At 41.4% G+C, this 17,870-nt stretch overlaps 1 long non-coding RNA gene and 2 other non-coding genes across 4 annotated transcripts in view, besides 2 other annotated features; all 3 read right to left on the bottom strand.

The window, feature by feature from the left end:
- Positions 1–17,870, bottom strand: part of LOC105378198 (uncharacterized) — a 46,805-nt gene that overhangs the window by 27,305 nt on the left and 1,630 nt on the right. Inside the window, exon 1 of one of the 2 annotated variants that reach the window (XR_001742905.2) lies at positions 3,042–3,081. The exons of the other annotated variant lie outside the window; for it this stretch is intronic. This is a non-coding gene — a long non-coding RNA (uncharacterized LOC105378198). Of the gene's footprint in view, positions 1–3,041; positions 3,082–17,870 lie in introns of those variants that run through there. 2 annotated transcript variants of the gene reach the window in all.
- Positions 4,530–4,617, bottom strand: VTRNA1-3 (vault RNA 1-3). Its single transcript, NR_026705.1, has one exon.
- Positions 4,538–4,832: an enhancer, noted in NCBI's record as "tiled region #6103; HepG2 Activating DNase unmatched - State 1:Tss, and K562 Activating DNase unmatched - State 1:Tss". NCBI's record gives its function as "activates a minimal TATA promoter and a strong SV40 promoter by Sharpr-MPRA in HepG2 and K562 cells {active_cell/tissue: HepG2 | K562}" and the evidence as "EXISTENCE:reporter gene assay evidence [ECO:0000049][PMID:27701403]".
- On the bottom strand, positions 11,763–11,850 carry VTRNA1-2 (vault RNA 1-2). The gene has a single exon (NR_026704.1).
- Positions 11,971–12,080: an enhancer, noted in NCBI's record as "active region_23290". NCBI's record gives its function as "activates an Ori minimal core promoter by ATAC-STARR-seq in GM12878 lymphoblastoid cells {active_cell/tissue: GM12878}" and the evidence as "EXISTENCE:reporter gene assay evidence [ECO:0000049][PMID:35858748]".

Raw genomic sequence — 17,870 nt, 5'->3', positions numbered from 1 at the left:
TGTAATTCCAGCACTTTGGGAAGCCGAGGTGGGCGGATCACTTGAGGTCAGGAGTTCGAGACAAGCCTGGCCAAAATATTGAAACGCTGTCTCTACTAAAAACACAAAAATTAGCTGGGCATGGTGGCACATGCCTGTAATCCTAGCTACTCAGGAGGCTGAGAGAGGAGAATCACTTGAGCCCAGGAGGCAGAGCTTGCAGTGAGCTGAGATACCCCCACTGCACTCTTGCCTGGGTGAAAGAGCAAGACTCTGTCTCAAAAATAATAATAATAGTAATAGAAATATTAATAAATAAATAAAAATCAGGTAAACAGGGCTGGGCACAATGGTGCATGCCTACAGTCTCAGCACTGGAGAGGTTGAAGCAAAAGGATCACTTGAGCCCAGGAATTCAAGGCTGTTGCCACTATGATTATACCTGTGAATGGCTACTATACTGCAGCCTGGGCAACATAGCAAGACCATCTTCTCTAAATACAATAAAAATAAATAAGATAAACAATCAGGTGAATGGTTAATTCCAAAAGAAAGTGAAGGGATTGTAAAAATCAAAAGAGAGAGAGGGTTTCTGGGATGTTGGCAATGTTTTCTTACCTTAGTAGTGATTATATGGATTCATTTTATAAGCATTTATTTAAATCTATGTATTTACCTCATGAATTTTCTGCATGTATGTTATATCTCACAGTTTAAAAATGTTTAATTAGTGAACAGTAGAAAATTGATACAGTCATCATAAGCATACATGCATCTACAATACAGTCTTGAACTACATCAAATAGGAAAAAATACATAAATCACCAATTGTAGTTGGAAATGTTTTAATATGCATCTCTAAGGACTGTAGATCACATAGACCTGAAAATAGTATGGATATGAATGAGCTGAAAAGAAAAACAATTTTAAAAATATGTAGACCCAAAATAAACAGGCATTATTTTTGAATATATATATAACACTTACAACAATAGACCATGTGTTAGGCTATAAATTCCACAGATCTGATCCCATTCAGACAATGTTCTCCTATTACAATGCATCCTGGAATTAACATTTGTAAAAACAATAGCTAAAATAAAATCCCATGTGTTTGGAAACTAAATAACATATTACTAAATAAGATTCTGCTTAAAAAATACTTAGAAGTGAATGAAACACTACATGAAGAATTTGTGTACTACAACTAAAGCAGTACTTAAAGGTAAACTTGCAGTTTTAAATACACTAATGATTAAGAAAGATTAAAATCAAATGAGCTGCCACAGGAGATACAACCTCACACCCTTCAGGATAGCTGCTATCAATCACACACACACACACACACACACACACAGAGAGAGAGAGAATAAGTGTTAGTGAAGACATGGAGAAATTGAAGCATTTCTGCACTATTGGTGGGAATGTAAAGTGATACAGCTGCTATGGAAAACAGTACAGCAGTCACTTAAATAATTAAAAGTACAATTACCATATAACCCAGCAATTCCACTTCTGGGTATATACCCAAAGGAATTGAAAGCAGAAACACAAACAGATATTTGTACACTCATGTTCATAGCAGCATTGTTCATAATAGGCAAGAGGTCAAAACAACCCAAATGTCCATTGATGGACAATGACTAAACAAAACATTCCATTTTAATAGTATTCCATTGTAGTATTCACATACAATAAAATATTATTTATCCTTTTTCAAAAGGAATGAAATTGTAGTACATGATACAACGTGGATGAACCTTAAGAACATTGTGCTGGCTGGGTGCGGTGGCTCATGCCTGTAATCCCAGGAGAATCATGGGGTCAGGAGATCGACACCATCCTGGCTAACAGAGTGAAACCCAGTCTCTAGTAAAGTTACAAAAAATTAGCAGGACATGGTGGCAGGAGGCTGAAGTCCCAGCTACTTGGGAGGCTCAGGCAGGAGAATCGCTTGAACCCAGGAGGTGGAGGTTGCAGTAAGCCGAGATTGTGCCACTGCACTCCAGCCTGGGTGACTGAGCCAGACTCCATCTCAAAACAAAACAAAACAAAACAAAATAAAACATAGTGCTAAGTGAAATAAACGAGTCACAAAAAGACAACTACTGTATGATTCCACTTCTATGAGATACCTAGAGTAGTCAAATTTATAGAGACGGAAAGCAGAATGGCAGTTGCCAGGGATTAGGGATAGAGGGAGGTGGAGAGTTATTAGTTAATGGGTATAGAGTTTCAGTTTTGAAAGATGAAGAGTTCTGGAGATGGATAGTGGTGATGGTTGCAAAACGGTGTGAATGTACCTACCACCACTGAGCTGAACATTTTAAAATGGTTCATATGCCAAATTTTATATTCTGTGTAGTTTACCACAATTAAAATTTTTTATGGAAAACAAAAACAAATGTTCTGGCTTCCAGATTCCTATAGAACAACACCAGTTACCTAAATTTGAATCTCTCCACACATCCTATAAACAAACAAAACTAAGGAGAACGAATAAAACCATCCATGGCTACAATATAATTTACAGACAGAGAAAATTATAAACCCCATTTTATATAAAAGCAGGTATATACATCCAAAACCAGCAGATCCAGTTACAGAGCCATGCTCTAGAAGAGAAGCCAAGATGGCACAGAAAGGCTAAACCACCACCAGAAAAAGAGAGTCCCATCTTGAGTGGAGAAATACTGACAATACGTCCGAGATCTGGTAGATGAAAGAACTGAGACAGATTTTAAAAGGGGGTGAAATTGTTTGAGACTGGCAATGGCAATGTTGCAAAGGCAAGAGGAAAGGCAGGAAGAAAGAGGCGACTTGAAGGGGAGGTACCCCTTCAGGGCTTGATGGTGAAGAAAAACGAAGCAAGCAATGAGTAAGAGTCCCAGGCTGGGCGCAGTCGCTGACTCCTATAAACCCAACACTATGGGAGGCCGAGGTGGGCAGATCTCTTGAGCTCAGGAACTCGAGACCAGCCTGGGCAACATGGTGAGACCCCCATCTCTACAAAAATAAAATAAAATAAAATACTAAATTTAGCCAGGCGAGGTAGTGCGCACCTGTGGTCCCAGCTACTCGGGAGGAGGCTGAGGCAGGAGGATCGCTTGAGCCCAGGAGGCAGAGGTTGCTGTGAGCAGAGATGGAGCCGCTGCACTCCAGCCTGGGAGACAGAGACAGGCTGTGTCTCGAAAAGAAAAAGAAAAAGAAAGTTAAGAGTCCCACAGAAATGAAACAGAATCACAAAATCAGAAGACATCAGCCAGTGCGCCACTCTAAAAAAAGAGGGCACTCTTGAACTAAGAAAGCTGGTAAGGCACCCAACCTCCTGCCTCATTTGCAGTTGCTGAAACTGGAAAATAAAATATTACAAAATGCACAGAAAATTGCAGACATATTATATAGAAAAAATTTAAGTGAAAATCTATATTTTCTAAAAAAAAAAAACTCAACATGATACCAGAAACCTGAAACATAATATTCCAGCCAAAATTAAATAACCTTAAACAATAATTTGGTAACATGAAAAAAAATGCCATGAATCAGAAAAATAACTCAGAACAGAAATGGACAAAGAACGAAATAACTAAGAAAACAGTTTGTTAAAAAAAAAAAAGCAGGAGAAATAGAAGAATAAAAAAATCAGAAAAAAAAACTAAATTATAAGATGTTCGAAGAGGAAGAGCTTTTACTTAAAATATAATAACTGGTATTGAGGAAAGGTATTAACACAGCCAATAAAATAAAAATAAAATCAAAAGAAAGCAATTCAGCCGGGTGCAGTGGCTCACGCCTGTAATCCCAGCACTTCGGGAGGCCGAGGCGGGTGGATCACAAGGTCAGGAGTTCGAGACCAGCTTGGCCATTATGGTGAAACCCTGTCTTTACTAAAAATACAAAAATTAGCCAGGTATGGTGGCATGTGCCTGTAGTCCCAGCTACTCAGGAGGCTGAGGCAGGAGAATCGCTTGAAAAAAGGAGATGGAAGTTGCAGTGAGCGGAGATCGCACCATTGCACTCCATCCTGGGCAACAGAGTGAGATTCCATCTGAAAAAAAAAAAAGCCATTCAAAGGATCAGACAGAAAGTGGCGTTGGTGTAGAGGCAAAGATCCAACATACATTGCAGTCCCTGAAGAAGAATAAAACAATGGAACCGATGTAATCTTCAAAACTATAATAAAAGAAACTTGGGTCTACATATCGAAAGGAAACCTAGGAAAAATTATATGGAATGATCAAGTCTGAGGTATATCTTAGAGCATCCATTAGATTTGAAAGAAAAACTCCTGTGGGCCTCAGGCAAAAAGGACAAGAAGATACAAATATACAGGTAACTGTTAGAACAAACACGTGAACATTACTGAACACTGAAAAAACTTTAAAAGTTAAGAGTTTGGTTGTGTTTGGATTTTAAGCACTTCCTTGCTTTCTAGCACTACGAGGTGCTCCGTGTCCATTTCTATATTTCCTGCCCACTACTAAAATCAGCCATTTCTCCAAGAAACCCTGGATCCTTTTATTATGGAAAGTGAGCTGAACTTCAGCAGTAAGAGGGCTGGAGAGCGCCCGCGGGTCTCGAACAACCCAGAGAGGTGGTTTGATGACACGCGAAGTAACCGCTGAGCTAAAGCCAGCCCAGAGGTTGCTTTCGGATTGTATTTTCTTGACTGGTGAGAAAGACCTACGTCACAAAGAGTGAGTCAAAACAACGGTGCTTTAGCTTGACTCAGCGACCTGGACTGTCCAATCCGCCGCTATCTCCAGGCAATTGCAGAGTGTCCATCTGGGGACATACAGCAGTGACAAGTACTCAGCCTTCCTCTAACCCCTGGAGAGCTCTTCCGCGGTTGTGCCCCCGGTTTATTCTCTCCTCAGCAGTCACCTGGTCCACAACTCTCCACACGCCCCCACCTCCTTTGCCTCCAGCTTTTGCGCTCCCAAAACAACCACGCAGGGTCACTTTGTGATCAAATCGACTTTTACAAGTAGAGCTTGGGTCATAAGAGTGGAGTCTTTACAAGGTGTAAATTGTATTTCAGACCTTATCTTAGAACTTCGCTGCTAAACTAGATAAACCTTACATCCTCTCCCCAGGGGAAACTTCCTGCGGCGCTTTTTTTTTTTTTTTTTTTTGACAGAATACCCCTCTGTCACCCTGTCACCCAGGCTGCAGTGCAATGGCCCCATCTAGGCTCAACCCATACGCCCCTCTTAGCCTTCCCAGTAGCTAGGACTACAGGCAGTCCACCATGCCCAACTAATTTTTTTTTTCCTGAGACGGATTCTCCACGCCGTTGCCCAAGCTGGATTGCAGTGGCAACAACTCGGCTCACTGCAGCCTCCGCCTCCCAGGTTCAAGCGATTCTCATGCCTCATCCTCCCAAGTAGTTGGGACTACAGGCATGCGCCACCACACCCAGCTAATTTTTATATTTTTTAGTAGAGAGGAAGTTTCACCATGTTGGCCAGGCTGGTCTCGAACTCCTGACCTCAGGTGATCCGCTTGCCTCGGCCTCCCAAAGGGCTGAGATTACAGGCTTCAGCCACCATGCCCAGCCTTTCTTGTTTTGTTTTGTTTTGTCTTTTTGTAGAGACAGGCTCTTGCTATGTTGCCAAGGTTGACCTGGAACTGGCCTCAACAGATCCTTCCACCTTGGCCACCCAAAGCGCTAGGATTACCCGTGTGAGCCTCCATGCCTGGCCTAAAAATTATTTCCATTTTTAATACTACAGTAACATCTATTATTTTTATGTGCACTGTAAACAGCTAATCTTTCTTCCCCAAATTCCTACTTTTCTCCAATTAACCACTGTTTATATTTCAATGTGTATCCTTCCAGTCCTTTCCCTCAATCTGTATATTTAACTGTATACAAAACATAAGGTTTTTCTTGGCTTGCTGGGAATCTTGGTTGTTGGATATTGTTTACTTAACAGCATGTCTTGGAGATCCTTCCAGTCACTGCATATAAACCTAAATCACTTGTATTGTAACAGCTGCATTATATTCAAGTATAAATGTACTAGTTTTAAGTTTCACTATCATAAAGCTGCAGTGATACACATCTTGGTACATATATGTACACATACACAAGTATGTTGTTAGAATATATGCTGGATTAAAGAATCTGCACACATATTTGGAGAAAGTTATGGGAGAAATGCAAGAGGCCTTGAGGGTGCCTGAAGCCGTAGGATCATCTTTAGTAATAAGGATCATCTTTTGTTCCCCAGGTACTCTGAAGGGCAATTCCACCAGAATGTACATTCCATGACATCTGGGACTTTGATGCATTGCCCCAGACGATAATACCAGTACCTACAGCATGTTCACCTAAGCACTGGTCAAGTGGATATTCCTCAACCAGAATGCAAACATTTCCATTGGTTTTAGAAAGCCCTGAAACAAGCTTCTCTTTGAGATTTCTGAGTTATCTGGGAGATTGCTGTGGGCTCTTGAATTTCCATTCCATTTCCTTTCCTAAGACACCAACTTGAGCACCTCCAAACACCCCCATGACTTAGGTCCCTTTGAGACTCAAACCACTTACCAGTCCCAAAAGAGTTTAAAGATTCTGAAATTCAGAATTGCATTTTAGAAGTGACCAGAGATGGCCAGGCGCCGTGGCTCATGCCTGTAATCCCAGCACTTTGAGAGGCCAAGGCGGGCGGATCACGAGGTCAGGAGATCGAGAATATCCTGGCTAACACGGTGAAACCCCATCTCTACTAAAAAAAAAAAAAAAAAAAAAAAAATTAGCCGGATGTGGTGGCTGGCGCCTGTAGCCCCAGTTACTCGGGAGACTGAGGCAGGAGAATGGCATGAACCCGGGAGGCGGAGCTTACAGTGAGCCGAGATCGCGCCTGTGCACTCCAGCCTGGGCACAGAGCAAGACTCCGTCTCAAACAAAAAAAAAAAAAGAAAAAAGAAAAAAAAAAGAAGTGACCAGAGGTAAGCTCCACTGTACCAAAAAAGGAACGACATCCTTTGAAGCTAAATTAAACTAGATGGTTTCCTGAAGAATGAGACTGGGTGCGGTGGCTCAGGCATGTAATCCCAGGACTTTGGGAGGCCGAGGCAGGCAGATCATTTGAGGTCAGGAGTTCAAGACCAGCCTGGCCAACATGGTGAAACCCCATATGTACTAAAAATACAAAAAAATTAACCAGGCATAGTGGTGGGCGACTGTAATCCCAGCTACTCAGGAGGCTAAGGCGGGAGAATCCCTTGAACCCGGGAGGCGGACGTTGCAGTGAGCTGAGATACCCCCACTGCACTCCCGCCTGGGTGAAAGAGCAAGACTCTGTCTCAAAAATAATACCAGTAATAATAATAAATCAATAAAAATCAGGTAAATGGAGCTGGGCAGAATGGTGCATGCCTAGAGTCCCTGCAACTCGGGAGGCTGAGGCAGAAGGATCACTCGAGCCCAGGAGTTCAAGGCTGTTGCCTGCTATAATTATACTTGTGAATGGCTACTGTACTGCAGCCTGGGCAACATAGCAAGACCCTCTTCTCTAAATAAAATAAAATAAATAAAATTAAAAAATCAGGTGAATGGTTAATTCCAAAAGTGAAGGGGTTGTGAAAATCAAAAGAGAGATACAGGGTTTCTGGAATGTTGGCAACGTTTTCTTATCCTTAGTAGTGATTATATGGATTATATAGTAGTGATTATATGGATTCATTTTATAAGTATTTAAATTTACGTATATACCTCATAAACTTTCTGCATGTTTATCTCACAGTGTTAAAATGCTTAATTAATTAACTGTAGAAAATTGATACAATCATCATAAGCATACATGCATCCAATATACAATCTTGAACTATATCAAACAAACAGGAAAAAATACATAAATCACCAATTGTAGTTGGAAATGTTTTAACATGCATCTCTAAGAACTGTAGATCACATAGAACTGAAAATAGTATGGATATGAATGAGCTGAAATGAAAAACATTTTTAAAAATATGTAGAACCAAAATAAACAGGCACTCTTTTTGAATATACATATAACACTTACAACAATAGACCATGTATTAGGCCATAAAGGAAGCATCAATAAATTCCAAAGATCCAATCCCATTCAGACAATGTTCTCCTACTACAATGCATTCTGAAATTAACATTTGTAAAAACAATTGCTAAAATAAAATCCCACTTACTTGGAAAATAAATAACATATTACTAGATCAGACTCAGCTTATAAAACACTTAGAAGTGAATGAAACACTACATGACAGAATTTGTGTACTACAAATAAAGCAGTATTTAAAGGCAAACTTACAGTTTTAAATACACTAATAATTAAGAGAGATTAAAATCAAATGAGCTGCCACAGGAGACACAACCTCACACCCTTCAGGATAGCTACTATCAATAACACACACATACACACACACACACACACACACACTCAGAGAGAGAGAGAGAATAAGTGTTAGTGAAGATGTGGAGAAATTGAAGCATTTCTGCACTATTGGTGGGAATGTAAAATGATACAGCTGCTATGGAAAACAGTATGGCAGTCACTTAAATAGCTAAAAATAGAATTACCATATAATCCAGCAATTCCACTTCTGGTATATACCCAAAGGAATTGAAAGCAGAAACTCAAATAGAAATTCGTACACTTATGTTCATAGCAGCATCGTTCATAATAGCTAAAAGGTCAGAACAACCCAAATGTCTATCGATGGATGATGGCTAAACAAAATATTCCGTTTTAATAATATTCCATTGTAGTATTCACATACAATAGCATATTATTTATCCTTTTTAAAAAGGAATGAAATTATGGTACATGATACAACATGGATGAACCTTAAGAACATTGTGCTGGCCGGGTGCAGTGGCTCACGCCTGTAATCCCAGCACTTTGGGAGGCCGAGGTGAGTGGATCACCTGAGGTCAGGAGTTCGAAACCAGCCTGGACAACATAGCCAAACCCGTCTCTACTAAAAATACAAATATTAGCCGTGCGTGGTGGTGGGCGTCTGTAATCCCAGCTACTGGGGAGGTTGAGGCAGGAGAATCGCTTGAACCCGGGAGGCGGAGGTTACAGTGAGCTGAGATCGCACCATTGCACTCCAGCCTGGGAGAAAAAGCCAGACTCTGTCTCAAAAAAAAAAAAAATTGTGCTAAGGGAAATAAAGGAGTCACAAAAAGACAGCTACTGTGTGATTCCACTTTTATGAGATACCTAGAGTAGTCAAATTTATAGAGACGGAAAGCAGAATGGCAGTTGCCAGGGATTAGAGATAGAGGGAGGTGGAGAGTTATTAGTTAATGGGTATAGAGTTTCAGTTTTGAAAGATGAAGAGTTCCTGGAGATAGATAGTGGTGATGGTTGCATAACAGTGTGAATGTACCTACCACCACTGAGCTGAACATTTTAAAATGGTTCATATGCCAAATTTTGTTTTCTGTGTATTTTACCACAATTAAAATTTTTTATGGAAAACAAAAACAAACGTTCTGGCTTCCAGATTCCTATAGAATAACGCCAGTTACCTAAATTTGAATCTCTCCACACATCCTATAAACAAACAAAACTAAGGAGAACGAATAAAACCATCCATGGCTACAATATAATTTACAGACAGAGAAAATTATAAACCCCATTTTATATAAAAGCAGGTATATACATCCAAAACCAGCAGATCCAGTTACAGAGCCATGCTCTAGAAGAGAAGCCAAGATGGCACAGAAAGGCTAAACCACCACCAGAAAAAGAGTCCCATCTTGAGTGGAGAAATACTGACAATACGTCCGAGATCTGGTAGATGAAAGAACTGAGACAGATTTTAAAAGGGGGTGAAATTGTTTGAGACTGGCCATGGCAATGTTGCAAAGGCAAGAGGAAAGGCAGGAGGAAAGAGGCGACTTGAAGGGAAGGTACCCCTTCAGGGCTTGATGGTGAAGAAAAAGGAAGCAAGCAATGAGTAAGAGTCCCAGGCTGGGTGCGGTGGCTCACTGCTGTAAACCAACATTATGGGATGCTGAGGAGGACGGATATCTTAAGGTCAGGAACTCGAGACCAGCCTGGGCAACATGGCAAGATGCCTGTCTCTACAAAAATATTAAAATTAAATAAAATAATAAAATTAAATAAATACAAAATTTAGCCAGGCGAGGTAGCGCGCACCTGTGGTCCCAGCTACTCAGGAGGAAGCTGAGGCAGGAGGATTGCTTGAGGCAGAGGTTCCAGTGAGCTGAGACGGCGCCACTGCACTCCAGTCTCGGAGAGAGAGATAGACCCTGTCTCAAAAAGAAAAAGAAAAAGAAAAGAAAATTAAGAGTCCCACAGAAATGAAAGAGAATTACAAAATCACAAGGCATCAGTCGGTGCTCCACTCTAAAAAAGGGCTATTTCGGGGAAAAATGCATTTTGTTCTACCAACAAAAGAGGGCACTCTTGAACTAAGAAAGCTGGTAAGGCACCCAAACTTCTGCCTCATTTGCAGTTGCTGAAACTGGAAAATAAAATATTACAAAATGCACAGAAAATTGCAGACATATTATATAGAAAAATTTTAAGTGAAAATCCATACTTTTTTTTTTTTTTTTGAGACGGAGTCTCGCTCTGTCGCCCAGGCTGGAGTGCAGTTGCGCAATCTCGGCTCACTGCAAGCTCCGCCTCCCGGGTTCACGCCATTCTCCTGCTTCAGCCTCTCTGAGTAACTGGGACTACAGGCGCCCGCCACCACGCCCAGCTAATTTTTTTGTATTTTTAGTAGAGACAGGGTCGCACCGTGGTCTCGATCTCCTGACCTCGTGATCCGCCCGCCTCGGCCTCCCAAAGTGCTGGGATTACAAGCGTGAGCCACCGAGCCCAGCCAAAAGTCCGTATTTTTTTTAAACTCACCATGGAACCGGAAAACTGAAACACAGTACTCCAACCTAAATTAGATAACCTTAAACAATCATTTGGTAACATGAAAAAAATGCCATGAATCAGAAAAATAACTCAGAAGAGAAATAGACAAAGAACAAAATAACTAAGAAAACAGTTTGTAAAAAAGCAGGAGAAATAGAAGGAAAAAAAATCAGAAAAAAACTAAATTATAAGATGTCCAAAGGGAAGAGCTTTTACTTAAGATATAATAACTGGTATTGAGAAAAGGTATTAACACAGCCAATAAAAAAAAAAAGATATCTCTTAGAACATCCATTAGATTTGAAAGAAAAACTCCTCTGGGCCTCAGGCAAAAAGGATGAGAAGATACAAGTATACAATTAACTGTTACAACAAACACATGAACATTACTGAACATTGAAAAATATTTTTAAAGTTAAGAGTTTGGTTGTTTTAGGTTTTCTTTTCTTTTTTTTCTTTTTTTTTTTTTTTTTGTGATACGGAGTCTTGCTCTGTCGCCCAGGCTGGAGTGCAGTGGCGCGATCTCGGCTCACAGCAAGCTCCACCTCCCGAATGGCTCACGCCATTCTCCTGCCTCAGCCTCCCGAGTAGCTGGGGCTACAGGCGCCCGCCACCACACCCGGCTAATTTTTTTGTATTTTTAGTAGAGACGGGGTTTCACCGGGTTAGCGAGGATGGTCTTGATTTCCTGACCTCGTGATCCGCCCGCCTCGGCCTCCCAAAGTGCTGGGATTACAGGCATGAGCCACCGCGCCCGGCCTGTTTTTGGTTTTCAAGCACTTCCTTACTTTCTAGCACTGTGAGATGCACCCTGTCCATCTCTGTATTTCCTGCCCAGTGCTAAAATCAGCCATTTCTCCATGGTTCCCCATGGAAAAGGAGCTGAACTTCAGCAGTAAAAGAGCTGGAAAGCACCCGCGGGTCTCGAACCACCCAGAGAGGTGGTTACAATGTACTCGAAGTAACCGCTGAGCTAAAGCCAGCCCAGAGGCTATCTCCGGATTATATTTTCTTGACTGGTGAGAAAGACCTACGTCACAAAGTGAGTCAAAACAACAGTGTTTTAGCATGACTCAGCAACCAGGACTGTCCAACACGCCACCGCCTCCAGACAATTGGAGTGTACAGCCAGGGACACACAGCAGTGACAAGGACACAGCCTTCCCCTAACCCTGGAGAGCTCTTCCGCAGTTGTGTACCTGGCTTATTTTCTCCTTCTCAGCAGTCACCTGGTCCACAAGTCTCGACACACCCCCACCTCCTTCGCCTTCAGCCACTGCGCTCCCAAAACAACCACGCAGGGTCACTTTGTGATCAAATCGACTTTTACAACTAGTGCTTGGGCCAGGGGAGTGGCGTCTTTACAAGGTGTAAATTGTATTTCAGACCTTATCTTAGAACTTCGCTGCTAAACTAGATAAACCTTCCAACCCCGGCCCAGGTGAAACTTCCTGTTATGCTTTTTAAATTTTTTTTGTTAGAGACAGACTCTCCCTCTGTCACCCAGTCTGGAGTGCAATGGCCCCATCTAGGCTTAACCCATACGCCCCTCTTAGCCTCGCGAGTGGCTAGGACTACAGGCATAGGCCACCATGCCTAACTAATGTTTTTTCTTTTCTTTTCATTTATTTATTTATTTTATTTATTTATTTTTTTGAGATGGAGTCTCCACTCTGTTGCCCAAGCTGGACTGCAGTGGTACCACCTCAGCTCACTGCAGCCTCCGCCTCCCGGGTTGAAGTGATTCTCATGCCTCTCCCTCCCAAGTAGCTGAGACTACAGGCACGCGCCACCACACCCATCTAATTTCTGTATTTTTTAATAGAGGCGAGGTTTCACCATTTTGGACAGGCTGGTCTCGAACTCCTGACCTCAAGTGATCCACTTGACTTGGCCTTCCAAATGGCTGGGATTACAGGCTTCAGCCATCGGGCCCAGCCTTTTTTGTTGTTGTTGTCGGAGACGGAGTCTTCCTATGTGGCCAAGGTTGACCTGGAACTGGCCTCAAGAGATCCTTCCACCTCAGCCACCCAAAGTGCTAGGATTACCCGTGTGAGCCTCCATGCCTGGCCTAAAAATTATTTCCATTTTTAATACCACAGGAACATCTATTCTTTTTATGTACACTGTAAACAGCTAATGTTTCTTCCCCAAATTCCTACTTTTCTCCAATTAACCACTGTTTATATTTCAATGTGTATCCTTCCAGTCCTTTTCCTCAATCTGTATATGTAACTGTACACAGAACATAAGGTTTTTCTTGGCTTGCTGGGAATCTTGGTTGTTGGATATTGTTTACTTAACAGCATGTCTTGGAGATCCTTCCACGCACTGCATATAAACCTAAATCACTTGTATTGTAACAGCTGCATTATATTCAAGTATAAATGTACTAGTTTTAAGTTTCACTATCATAAAGCTGCAGTAATACACATCCTGGTACATATATGTACACATACACAAATATGTTGTTAGAATATATGCTGGATTAAAGAATCTGCACACATATTTGGAGAAATACAAGAGGCCTTGAGGGTGCCTGAAGCCACAGGATCATCTTTAATAATAAGGATCATCTTTTGTTCCCCAGGTACTCTGAAGGGCAATTCCACCAGAATGTACATTCCATGACATCTGGGACTTTGATGCATTGCCCCAGACGATAATACCAGTACCTACAGCATGTTCACCTAAGCACTGGTCAAGTGGATATTCCTCAACCAGAATGCAAACATTTCCATTGGTTTTAGAAAGGGTTTTAGAAACCCCTGAAAGAAGCCTCTCTTTGAGATTTCTGAGTTATCTGGGATTGCTGTGGGCTCTTGAATTTCCATTCCATTTCCTTTCCCAAGACGCCAACTTGAGCACCTCCAAACACCCCATGACTTAGGTCCCTTTGAGACTCAAACCACTTACCAGTCCCAAGAGAGTTTAAAGATTCTGAAATTCAGAATTGCTTTTTTGAAGTGACCAGAGGTAAAATCCCACTGTACCAAAAAGGGAAAGACATCCTTTGAAGCTAAATTGAAGCTAAATTGAACTAGATGTTTTCCTGAAGAATGAGACTGGGCGCAGTGGCTCACACCTATAATCCCAGCACTTTGGGAGGCCAAGGTGGGCAGATGATTTGAGGTCAGGAGTTCAAGACCAGCCTGGCCAACATGGTGAAACCCCATCTGTACTAAAAATACAAAAAAAATTAGCCGGGCCTAGTGGCGGGCAACTGTAATCCCAGCTACTCAGGAGGCTGAGGCAGGAGAATCACCTGAACCCAGGAGGCGGAGGTTGCAGTGAGCTGAGATACCTCCACTGCACTCCTGCCTGGGTGAAAGAGCAAGACTCTGTCTCAAAAATAATACCAGTAATAATAATAAATCAATAAAAATCAGGTAAATGGAGTTGGGCAGAATGGTGCATGCCTAGAGTCCCAGCAACTTGAGAGTCTGAGGCAGAAGGATCACTTGAGCCCAGGAGTTCAAGGCTGTTGCCCGCTATGATTACACCTGTGAATGGCTACTGTACTGCAGCCTGGGCAACATAGCAAGACCCTCTTCTCTAAATAAAATAAAATAAATAAAATAAAAATCAGGTGAATGGTTAATTCCAAAAGTGAAGGGGTTGTGAAAATCAAAAGAGAGATACAGGGTTTCTGGAATGTTGGCAAAGTTTTTTTGTTTTGTTTTGTTTGTTTGTTTGTTTGTTTGTTTGTTTGTTTTTGAGACTGAATTTCTCTCTTGTTGCCCAGGCTGGAGTGCAATGGCGCGATCTCGGCTCACCGCAACCTCTGCCTCCCGGGTTCAAGCGATTCTCCTGCCTCAGCCTCCCAAGTGGGATTACTGGCATGCGCCACCACCACAGCTAATTTTGTATTTTTACTAGAGAGAGTGTTTTTCCATGTTGGTCAGGCTGGTCTTGAACTCCTGACCTCAGGTGATCCGCCCGCCTCAGCCTCCCAAAGTGCTTGGATTACAGGTGTGAGCCACCGCGCCCGGTTGGCAACGTTTTCTTATCCTTAGTGGTGATTATATGGATTATATAGTAGTGAATATATGGATTCATTTTATAAGTATTTATTTAAATCTACATATATATCTTATAAACTTTCTGCATGTATGTTATGCCTCACAGTTTTAAAATGTTTAATTAGTAAACAGTAGAAAATTGATATAATCATCATAAGCATACATGCATCCACAATACAATCTCCAACTATGTCAAATAAATAGGAAAAAACATATAAATCACCAATTGTAGTTGGAAATGTTTTAACATGCATCTCTAAGAACTGTAGATCACATAGACCTGAAAATAGTATGGATATGAATGAGCTAAAAAACAATTTTAAAAATATGTAGATCTAAAATAATCAGGCATTCTTTTTTAATATACATGTAACACAACAATAGACCATGCATTAGGCCATAAAGGAAGCATCAATAAATTCCAAATATCCAATCCCATTCAGACAATGTTCTCCTACTACAATGCATCCTGGAATTAACATTTGTAAAAATGATAGCTAAAATAAAATCCCACTTGTTTGGAAACTAAATCACATATTACTAGATCAGACTCTGCTTAAAAAATACTTAGAAGTGAATGAAACACTACATGACAGAATTTGTGTACTACAACTAAGCAGTACGTAAAGGCAAACTTGGAGTTTTAAATACACTAATGATTAAGAAAGATTAAAATCAAATAAGCTGCCACGGGAGATACAACCTCACACTCTTCAGGATAGCTACTATCAATGACACACACACACCCAGAGAAAGAGAGAGGCAGAATAAATGTTAGTAAAGATGTGGAGAAATTGAAGCCCTTCTGAACTATTGGTAGAAATGTAAAATGATATAGCTGCTATGGGAAACTGTATGGCAGTTACTTAAATAACTAAAAATAGAATTACCATATAGTCCAGCAATTCCATTTCTGGTATATATCCAAAAGAATTGAAAGCAGAAACTAGGCCGGGCACGATGGCTCATGCCTGTAATTCCAGCATTTTGGGAAGCTGAGGTGGGTGGATCATGAGGTCAGAAGTTCGAGACCAGCCTGGCCAACACGGTAAAACCCCGTCTCTACTAAAAATACAAAAATTAGCTGGGCTTGGTGTCACACGCCTGTAATCCCAGCTACTCAGGAGGCTGAGGCAGGAGAATCACTTGAACCTAGAAGGTGGAGGTTGCAGTGAGCCTAGATCACACCAATGTACTCCAGCCTGGGGGAGAGAGCAAGACTCCGTTTCAAAAAAAAAAAAAAAGAAAACAGAAACTAAAACAGATATTTGTACACTTATGTTCTTAGCAGCATTGTTCATAATAGCCAAAATGTCAAAACAACCCAAATGTCCATTGACGGACAATGGCTAAACAAAATATTCCATTTTCATAATATTCCACTGTAGTATTCACATACAATAGAATATTATTTATCCTTTCTAAAAAAGAACAAAATTGTGGTACATGATACAATATGGATGAACCTTAATAACATTGTGCTGGCCGGGCGTGATGGCTCACACCTGTAATCCCAACACTTTGGGAGGTCGAGGTGAGCAGATCACCTGAGGTCAGGAGTTCGAGACCAGCCTGGTCAGCATGGTGAAACCCCATCTCTACTAAAAATACAAAAATTAGCCAGGTGTGGTGGTGGGTGCCTGTAATCCCAGCTACTTGGGAGGCTGAGGCAGGAGAATCACTTGAACCTGGGAGGCGGAGGTTGCCGTGAGCCGAGATCATGCCACTGCACTCCAGCCTGGGTGACAGAATGAGACTCCCTCTAAAAAAAAAAAAAAAAAAAAGAACATTGTGCTAAGTGAAATAAATGAGTCACAAAAAGACAAATACTGTATGATTCCACTTCTATGAGATACCTAGAGTAGTCAAATTTATAGAGACTGAGGGCAGAATGGCAGTTGCCAGGGATTAGGGATGAAGGGAGATGGAGAGTTAGTGGGTATAGAGTTTCAGTTTTGAAAGATGAAGAGTTCTGGAGATGGATAGTGGTGACGATTGCATAATAGTGTGAATGTACCTACCACCACTGAACTGAACACTTCAAAATGGTTCATATGGGCTGGGGATGGTGGCTAACACCTGTAATCCCAGCTCTTAGGGAGGCAGAGGTGGGTGGATAGTTTGAGCCCAGGAGTTTGGGATCTGCCTGGGCAATATAGTGAGACCCCATTCTCCATAAAAAGGAAAAAAAAGACCAAAAAAAGGTGTAAAATGGTTCATATGCCAAATTTTATGTTCTGTGTATTTTACCACAATTAAAAATTTTTATGGAAAACAAAAACAAATGTTCTGGCTCCCAGATTCCTATAGAATAATGCCAGTTACCTAAATTTGAATCTCTTCACACATCCTATAAACAAAAAAAAACTAAGGAGAACAAATAAAACCATCTATGGCTACAACATAATTTACAGACAGAGAAAATTATAAACCCCATTTTATATAAAAGCAGATATATACATCCAAAACCAGCAGATCCAGTTACAGAGCCATGCTCTAGAAGAGATGCCAAGATGGCACAGAAAGGCTAAACCACCACCAGAAAAAGAGAGTCCCATCTTGAGTGGAGACATGCTGACAGTATGTCTGAGATCTGGTAGATGCAAGAACTGAGACGTATTTTAAAAGGGGGTGAAATTGTTTGAGACTGGTAATGGCAGTGTTGCAAAGGCAGGAGGAAAGAGGTGACTTGAAGGGGAGGTACCCCTTCAGGGCTTCACGGTGAAGAGAAAGGAAGCAAGCAGTGAATAACAGTACCAGTCTAGGTGCGGTGGCTTACTCCTCTAAACCCAACATTATGTGAGGCCGAGGTGGGCGGATCTTGATCTCAGGAATTTGAGACCAGCCTGGGCAACATGGCGAGACCCCCATCTCTACAAAAATAAAATAAAATAAAAATAAAATAAAATACAAAGCTGGGTGAGGTAGTGCACAGCTGTGGTCCCAGCTACTCTGGAGGAGGCTGAGGCAGGAGGATCGCTTG

Source organism: Homo sapiens, chromosome 5, assembly GCF_000001405.40.
Source record: "Homo sapiens chromosome 5, GRCh38.p14 Primary Assembly".
NCBI lineage: Eukaryota > Metazoa > Chordata > Mammalia > Primates > Hominidae > Homo > Homo sapiens.
This window is presented reverse-complemented; position numbering and strand designations above follow the sequence as displayed.